This window comes from Homo sapiens, chromosome 2 (assembly GCF_000001405.40).
Source record: "Homo sapiens chromosome 2, GRCh38.p14 Primary Assembly".
In the NCBI taxonomy this organism is placed as follows: Eukaryota; Metazoa; Chordata; class Mammalia; order Primates; family Hominidae; genus Homo; species Homo sapiens.
Window position 1 is genome coordinate 138,097,151 of NC_000002.12, and position 9,897 is coordinate 138,107,047.

Consider the following 9,897-nt stretch of genomic DNA (forward strand, 5'->3'; position numbering starts at 1 on the left):
TTTACTCGTTCAGAGGAAATTTAGACTATTTAAGTTATAACAGGTTAACAATTTTTTATTGAAATTATATGAAACCTACAAGTTTATTTGGTAGAATTTTATACTTTTATAATTTCAGTCTTCGGTTACAAGTCAAGAACCTATGTTTCTCTATTTATTTCAAAAAATAAATAGAGAAAAATGCACACTATTATTATCATCTAGAATCAGATCATTAAATATTTTAATATGTAAAGTATCAAGCAGCAGTCATTCTGTTGATTTAAGGTATGGTATATTGAAAAATCCATTGTAAAAATGCACACAATTATTATCTAATATTGTATCATTAAGTATTTTAGTAGGTAAAGGATCAAAGAATTGATAATGAGTGAGCAAGATCAGACCAATAATAATGCAGGTGTGTTAGAGGACAAGGCCAGTCCTAATATCCCTGTGCTAACCATGGTTCTGAGGTGATGTGGATCTAAAACCAATGCATTAAGCAAATAGTTGTGAGAAATAGAGGCTCGGGCCCCAGTCAAAACCAGAAATATAGTCGTTAGTCACTGAACAGAAGTGTTGAGCAGAAGCATTAGCTGATAAAAAATGAAAGACTCAATACAAGATATTATGGCAATTTCAAAAGAATTCAAGACAGAGAAAGAAGGTAATAAGGTGGCATAGAAGTTAAGCTACCAGTCAAAAAGTTTTTTAAAAAGGAAGTACCATAATGGAAATAACAAAATAGTCCCAGAAAGGAGGACACTACTTGCAGTCCTTGGAATCCTAGCCAAACATCATGAACTATTCTATTCACTAATTCCAGGCTCAAAGATTAGCCTTTGGCTGCCTAAGTCACCCTCTTCCTCTCATCATTCTGAATACAGTGAAAGCAGAGCAGGATGGTGATTAGGGCTATGGTCCTGGATAGTCAGTGAATACTGTGAAGATACTGTGAATCTTGTCCTAAGCACCAAGAGAGAGAAGGGAGTGGCCAAAAAACAAGTTTGAGAGAGTCTGCCTATCACAGATTTCATGCAGCTTACAAATTTGTGAATGGTGTTTGAGTGAAATGAGAGATAGGACAATTTGAAAAATTGGCCTTTGTACCGTATAACATTCTATTAAAACACTTCACATTTAAATTGTGTGTTATAATCACAGAGTGTTTCCAAAACCACAAAACCATGATATCCTAAATCCCCTGCAGAATTCTGAGGGTTAGCCTAGGAAGTAATAATTAATTCCACTTTCTCATTAACAAAAACAAGGCAGTAAGAGGTTTAATGACTTATCCAAAGGAGCAAAGCTAGTGAGGTGAAGAGATCCTGAATCCAGTTTTCTGCACAGTACATCTAATTCCATCTCCACAGTGTTTCCATTTCTGTTGCTTTTTTCAGCCAAAACCATGTTTCTCAAACTTGTCTACACCTTGAAATCACCTAGAGAGTTTTAATGCTGATGCCCCGGTTCTACTCCTAGAGACTCAGATTTAATTGGCATGACATGCAACCTAGATTGGATTTTCTGAAAGCTGCAAGATGATTCTAATGGAGCAAAGTTTGACAACCACAGTCACCAAACAAATGCTTCCTTCACAAAGGTAACTGAGGATTTAGTAATTCCCATATCAACCAACATATGCCATTCCAAATCAACTGGTGGGGTTGGCAGGGGTGGGTGATCTGACTTAGAGAGATAACTCTGTTAAGCAAGTATAGGATTAATAAGAGTTAACTGGTAGGTAAAAGCAGATTTATGGAGATTGAGTATTCAGAGTAAGAGTCAGGGTAAAAGAGCTAAAAAAAATGAAGAGGTAAACCGGGAGTGGAAATAAAGGTTGGCATGTGGATGCATGGTGAGCAGATAGGGCATGGTACTACCTGCAGAAGGGCATTTATGTAAACTTGCATGTGCCCTCAAAGCCAGTCAGGTTAAGTGAACCAACTGTGCATGGATAGCAAGGACAGAACCAGAGAAAAATGTCCAAAGCATTGGTGAGAGGTCTTCAGCCAAAGGCAGAACTGGCATTTTCAGGTCCTCACATACAGAGTGAACATTGAACTCTCTGCAACAGGGAGCCTTCTGCCCTTCTCCCCACCCCCAGCTCTTCTCACTTTTAAAGTGAATCAATATCAGAGAAGTCAGATATTTGAATGAATGCATTCAGAAAGGCACTTTTTAGTACTAGATTGGAGCTCGAAATACTCTTTTGCCCACATTTAAAAAAGAATAATATAAACACAGTGCTAGAGAAATAAATGTTGAAATAGCCTTATAGAAGTATGTCTTAGTTTGATGGATAAAGGAAATGTGGTACATATACACCATGGAATACTATGCAGCCATAAAAAAGGAACAAGATCATGTCCTTTCCAGGGACACCGATGGAGCTGAAAGCCATTATCCTCAGCAAACTAATGCAGAAACAGAAAATCAAACACTGCATGTTCTCACTTATAAGTGGGAGCCAAATGATAAAAACACATGGACACATGGCGGGGAGCAACACACACTGGGGCCTGCCAGTGTGGGGAGGAAGAGCAACAGGAAGAATAGTTAATGGATGCTGGGCTTAATACCTAGGTGATGAGGCTGGGCATGGTGGCTCATGCCTGTAATCCCAGCACTTTGGGAGGCCAAGGCGAGTGGATCACCTGGGGTCAAGAGTTCGAGACCAGCCTGGCCAACATGTTGAAACCTTGTCTCCATGAGAAAAAAATTAGCTGGGTGTGGTTGTGTGCACCTATAATCCCAGCTACTTAGTAGGCTGAGGTAGAATTGCTTGAACCTGGGCGGCGGAGGTTGCAGTGAGCCAAGATTGTGCCACTGAACTCCAGCCTGGGTGACAGAGTGAGAAGCTGTCTCAAAAAGAAAAAAAAAAAAAAGAAGAAGAAGAAAGAAAAGAATAGAAAAAAAAACAAAAACCTAGGTGATGGGATGATCTGTGCAGCAAACCCCCACAGCAAAATGGCAAATGTTTACCTATGTAACAAACCTGCACATCCTGCACATGTACCTCTGAGCTTAAAATGAAAATTGAAGATAAAGGAAGAAAATAAAAGAAATATATCTTAGTTTGTTAGAGCTGGTATATCAACATATAAGCTGAATAGGTGGCCTGTAAACAACAGAAATGTATTTCTGACAATTCTGGAGGCTGGAAAGTCCAAGATCAAGGCACCAGCAGATTTGGTGTCTGGTGAGGACCCACTTCCTGATTTATAAAAACTGCACTTTCTAGCTATGTCCTTCCTCACATGGTAGAAGGAGCCTGGTAGCTCTGTGGATCCCTTTATAAGGGCAATAATCCTATTCATGAGGGCTTTACCCTCATGATCTAATCACCTCCCAAAGGCCCCACCTCCTAACACCATCTCCCTGGGGGTTAGAATTTTAACATGAATTTGGGGGTACACAAACATTCAGACTATAACAGAATTATGTTTTAGGAACAAAGGAATCGTGAACTGAAAACCAACTGCCATATTTAACACTAACTCTATGGAGATGGCATTACAAGTTTCAAACCAACGTTCAAATAAACTTTTGGTTCCATTGCCACGACTTTGTTAAGAACAGGGTCTGTGTCTTACTCATCATTGTACCACTTGGGTTTTGCAGAGAGCACACTTAAGTTGAATTGTTTGAAGGTGGACTTTTTTATAAGTTGTGACTGCCTCTTCTTAACACAGGAATAACTAATGCCCCTCTCAAATATTTTCATGCACCTTTTTCCCCTCTCTTATTTTGAAATAAATTGAAGACTAATTGTTTTATTTATTAAATATAAGTTCTAGGACTGGAAGGCAAGTCTAAAGACCTCTTGCTTTCTTGGCATTATGATTTCTGGATGGGAGGAGGTTTCCATCCATCTTCATTCCAAGGCACCCACAGGCAATATTCTGAGGCTCCTTCTATTTAATGTATTGGTTCTTGTACTGGTTTTATCCAGGACACAGTGCCCTTCATCCAGTTTCTCTCTTTCCTTTTTTCTCACCCTGTTTTATCGAGGTGCAGCCCTTTTTATCTGGTCACAAAAGGGAACTCCTAAGTGTTGGTTTGTGATCAAGAAGCAGCAAAGCTGTCATCTCTCTAAATATATTTTTATATTTTGCTTGGGGTTGTCACTATAAATAAGAAGAAGTATTGCTGATAGGGCTTTTCATGTGTGTACTCTCTTTCTCTCTCCGTCCTCATTCACTTCATCATCCTTAGGCCCCCAGAGCTGTGTCACCACCCTGAAACAAATGAGGGAAAGCAACCAATTACATTAAAATGCAATATAAATAGAGGGAACAGGCAATGTATAATGTGGATTTCCTGAACAACTGTTCACATTCTAGGGGCTGGTCAAGCAAAGGGAACAGATAAGGAAGCCCTTGGCTGTCATTTCCCTTGAACTATTGTGAGGATCTCAGGGCCTAGGGAAAGAATCCTCCTGAGTCTTCTCTCTTTCATAATAGTTTCATTTTTGTCCTTGTCATACATTTTCAAGAATACAGAGACTGATGTAGGCATCTCTGGAATAGTCTTAGGAAAATTATTCTGGGAACAGGATCAATGAAGAGGATTGTGAAAATGAACATGGAGACTTGAATCCCCTGTGCCTTCTAGAAACGGAAGGACAGAAAAATATAGCAATAGTCTAATGCAAAAATTGTCATACACATGCCAACCTCTTAAAACAGACAATGCCACCAAGCGTCAAGGTGACCTTAGAACCTAAGAATGTGGAAAGAAGAAGACACACATTTGGCAGGCTACCCCAGACCCATGTGGAGCAGAGGTGGTAAATATCTCACATGTTGCAATCTCCCTTGTCATGTCTGTGGTAGATATTGTTAATGAATCACAACTTTCTCTCCCCCTCAGTCCAAATTTAGCTTTAAAATCTATTTTAACACAATATGCCAGATACATTGCCCATCAAATGCCACCAGCATTCCAGAAGAAATCTATCTGCTATCCATGATCAAGGCTATTGCAAAACTTGTATTAATTCAGGTCAGAGGAATGGTAATCTCGGCTTGATTCAAGCCAGCAAGCTACCTGCCGTCTGAATCTGAGCCTTCTGCTTCTGCTCTAAGTAGTCACACTCCTTACCATGATGGCCCATCATGGCTCTTTTCTTTCTCTCACCATCGCATCCTTTTAACTTGCTTTCTACTCTTCCCTGTTACCTTCTGCCTCCACAGTATCCAGACAAGATTCAGGGGGGCTGCTTTGTTGAGAAGGGGAATGGAATGGATTTGAAGATGATGTTGAGGGAGAGGTACAGGTTTTCTCTTAGGTGGAATAAGGGAGGAACAGAGAAAGGTTTCATGTTCTATGCTTCTAACACAGTTGCATATGTTCTTTATTGTACTCAAATTGCACATGTTCACTCTCATCCCACATAAGAAGCTCGGGGTCATCTTTGAGACTCAGCTATCTCTAGCTACACCCAAGTGTGCAGTGTGCCTTTAAATGTTCCATGCTAATGGAGATATGCAAGAAAAGTCCCCAGATACCCCAATTACCATTCTGCTCAGCTGCTATGATATCCATTTCTCATTTTTAGGTTATCTGTGGAAATAAAAAAACTAATAATAGCCATTCTAATGACATCTACAAATACTTTGCCCACAAATAATAAACTGCTAGGCACTACAAAGATAACAATTGAGCTTCACCATTTTTAGACAAAGCCTGCAAACCTGCCTTGATATCCATTATATCCATAATGCTGACTCATACATATTTTTTAGATATGCTTTATGGTGTATTCTACCTCCTCTAACTCAAAGAACATCACAAAAGTTTGATCACAGTGTCTGAAAACTGATCTCTGAAGGCTAGGTCTAATCAAATTATATTTGTCTACACTAATGCAAAGAAATTTTAGCATTGATCATTTAAAATAATGTTGAATTATGATAAAAAAACTCTCTGAATCATACTTATTTTCATAGAAGATATTGTATTTATTGAACTACTAAAATAAGCTTATTACCCCAAAACCCATCCAGACACTGGGGGACAAAAAGCGCTAGCAGCTTACAAGTGTTGAGAGATGTTTTCTAAGATTTCTGATTTTCAGAAGATTCTTTCCTTCAAATGTGATTTTTGAAATAAAGATAATTGAGAATAGGATAAATAGAAGAAAGTGGTTCAATCTCCAGATCAGGCATATGACTCAGGGTAAGTGGGGTTGGCAACTATTTTCAGCTGTTAGGAGTTCTGAAATTCTTGCCTATTTCAAACCTGCCTCTCAAATTTCCCACTCATTCAAGACAACTCTCTTTTCCAGGAGGAGGCACTCATTAAACAGTCATTGTTTTATTATCTCTTGATCAATGGCAAGGTTGGAGGGAATGGGACTTCTGTCAGGTAAACCTTGATAAGGGGGAATCATCAGACCCTTGGGCTGTGGCCTCTTTAACCAGCTTTGTAGATACTTTAGGGACATCTTGAAGTCATGTGAACCCATTTTTCCTTGAAAAATTTTATGTTACCAGAACATTTTCACAAGCCAGATTTCTAGCTTAGCCATATCCTCTGTGGAAGTTCAGCTCCTCACCTCATCACTTCCCCACTAACATCCTCCCCCAGTCACTAAGTGCCAAGCTAGATCCTACACACAGCCTCCACCAGTGCCTAGTTTTACTTTGAAGCTACCTTCACCCATCTCCTTTTTCCTCAAGGTCTTGAACAGGCAGCTGGTCTTTTCCTATTTCATAGCTCATAATCCTTATTGCGATGCTCACTACACTGCCATCTCCTAGTAAAAGAACATCCTCTCAGCATTCTTCAAGCAACGGTGATGATGCCACTTGAAGGCAATGACATGAAGCCCATCAGATTCCAAAATTTTTAAAAAAGAAAAATCTGGTTTTTAGTTAGTCAGAGGGAAAGCATTGACAATATAGCTGTGCCTTGAGCTACATGCAGCAGGACAGAGACTCCTAGCAGACTTAACTGACCTACAAACACAAATGAAAAACATTTCAAAAATTTCAGAAACACTGGTGGCATGGAGGGAGTGCAAGACCCTGAAGAGAATATGCTGAGGTCCTGAAGTGTGCAGCTGGGGCTTAATGAGCTAGGTAAGGCTTAATGTTCACTTGACCTCACTGGCACTGGGCTACTCATGCCTAGGAATCTTGGGTTTACCACAACTACGTGGCTTCCCTGGGTATAGAATCTAGTTTTCTTCTTGAAAAATATGAGACTACTCATGAGCTCCTGAAACCACTTTAATTTCTACAGTGTCCACAAGAAAAGAATATTGACAAAGGTCTTCTAGGTTTATTTTAATAAGTGAACCAATTCAATAATTAGTCTCTGAGAACCTCTGTGAGCCTGAATCCTGCTTTTGTTTGGCTTCAAAAAAGATAGGTAGATGGCCGGGTGTGGTGGCTCACGCCTGTAATCCCAGCACTTTGGGAGGCCTAGGCAGGCAGATCACGAGGTCAGGAGTTCAAGACCATCCTTGCCAACATAGTGAAACCCCATCTCTACTAAAAATACAAAAATTAGCCTGGTGTGGTGGCGCGTGCCTATAGTCCCAGCTACTTGGGAGGCTGAGGCAGGAGAATCACTGGAACCTGGGAGGCGGAGGTTGCAGTGAGTCAAGATTGCATGCCACTGCACTCCAGCTTGGGTGACAGAGCAAGACTTCATCTCAAAAAAAAAAAAAGAACAGAAAAAAAGATACGTAGATTTCTATATCTGCTTCTGGGCTCAATCTGCTGTATGTTGTTTTACAAAAATATGTGAAGGAAATGTGGCCTCAGAACAATATGTAGATGGAAAAGTAAGAAGAACTTTAATAGACTTTTCAGATGAATGTAGATATTCTTTTTTGATAGTACACCAAAACTCAACAAGTAGTAGTGCCTTAAAAGTTAGTTGTGGGTGGAATCTGAAACCATATCAATAAGCTTTTCTTACTCTGTTATATTACAATCCATTAGCCCATTTTGTACTTTGAATGTATCTTTTAACTAAGCATGATTCTGCAACATCATGGTGTCTTGGAAAATATTGGTTCACTGAATTATGCAGGTTTTTTGAATACTGACACATTTCATTTTACAGTATCAAAAAAATCAAATTTATTATCAAAACCACCAATTTCATTAGAGGACACTCTAAATATTATGAAGCTAGTAAGCTCATGGTGATGGAAACAAGTTTTCCAAAATTCAAATTTTCCCTTGAAAGTTTGGATTTTACTGCTGGCAATAAACACCATCAGTCATTTTCCTAGAAATGAAAGACTCATGTTGTTCATTTTCATGGCAAATCCTAAATGCTTAACTCTGAATTCCTATAGTTTGTCTCTCTTTTGTACTTTCAGATAAAACTGACATTCCATAAAAGAAATGAGTAGTTCAGCCTGAAACTCAAATAATTGCACAAGTATTTTTCTTCAAGATAATCATCATACTTTGTTACAGAGCAGAAATACAGCTCTTCCTGCTTCCTTCTCATCTTATCACCCAGAATATTTGTCATAGTTAATTATATGTGTCTACTTGAAGGGTGTTTTTGGATGACTCCACTCTCCCTCATCTCTTCTGGAAAATAAAAGGAATCAGAAATTTCTAGAAGCCAAGAACCAAATGAACGAAGTCAAAATTATGCCCTAAGGCAAGCCTTCCCCTCCATGCTTAGAGCTAGCTCAAGGGGTGTGAATGCCTCTACAGATCCAGTTTCTTGGTGCCACAGAAGGGTCAGCATTGACTCTTACCCTGCTCAATTTGCTTCAACCCAGTGGGGCCTTGTTAAAAAAGAGCAAGTATGTCTACAATTCCAGATCTCATTTCATGCATAGTTGGCAGTGCATAAGAAACTTTATCAGATTCCAAAATATATTTTTAAAAAGTCCAAGAGGCTGGGGTCCTTTGTGATTGTTGTGGATCCACATCAGGAAGAGAAACCCTTTAAGGAGAAGAATATGATATTTTCATTTGCATAAAAACAATAAAACTCTTTCAGCAGCAATTTCCCCTATATAAAAAGTGAGAACACAGCACCTTGGTGACACAGACATCTGTTACTTAAACAGATGCCACCTTCTAAACTCACTCAAGCAACCCTCTGCTCAACCAGAGACCCCTAAACCAAAATTCAATGCGTGGATAGAACAATATGTGCAAAGGGTGCTTTCAGTAATGATGGGTTTTACCTCCCAGCATCATTATGAATTTGCTTGACTTTTTTGTGTTGTTACTTTAGCAAAATCTCCTCCATCATTTCTCTCAGTAATGTCTTTTTTCTAACTTAACCTCCACAATCTGCAAAATCAAATGGTTCCTTCTAAGATTCATTGCTGATTAGCACTAGCCCTTCAAAGGCTAAACCATGGCTTTTGTTTGTTTCTTTCTTTTTGCAGATGCACTTTAATGACTTCACAGGACAAGGCTCTAACACTATCTAGGAGAGAAATGAAAGTTAGTTCCTTTTTTTTCTTTTCCAGTAGCACAAAGGGTCCCTGCTGATGTTTTCCAGTGAAGCAATACTCCCCTAGCCTGAGACTGATAAGTGCCTTCAGAAGTTAGGCTTACACTTCTAAATCAGCAGTTCATGAAAGGCATTACGAAAAACTATTATACTGCTATAATGCTATAATGGATGACAGCACAGTTGTATATGTTACACCTTGAAGTAAGCAGTAGGATTTTCCATCACTTGATAACCTTGAAACTGCTAAGGTATCAAATTGCTATCATGAATATTGTGCAGGAGAAGAAATAACTCAGGAAGCTGCCTTTGTGAATAATAATCAGAAAACTGCAACATTTTTACTGAGAAAATGGATTTGAGGCACTGGTGTATTGACAAGCTTTCTAACAGGAAACTAAGGTAGACATTACAAGTACATTTACATTGAGCTATGCATCAATCCATCATTCAGCATTCGATTTG

The 9,897-nt window shown here is 39.1% G+C and overlaps 1 long non-coding RNA gene across 1 annotated transcript; it reads left to right on the top strand.

Annotated features, from left to right (window-relative positions):
* The first annotated feature begins 4,733 nt into the window (after positions 1–4,733).
* On the top strand, positions 4,734–8,755 carry LINC01832 (long intergenic non-protein coding RNA 1832). Its single transcript, NR_135526.1, has 3 exons — positions 4,734–4,771; positions 6,985–7,070; positions 8,327–8,755. It is a non-coding gene; the product is annotated as a long intergenic non-protein coding RNA 1832 (long non-coding RNA).
* The last annotated feature ends 1,142 nt before the right edge of the window (positions 8,756–9,897 follow it).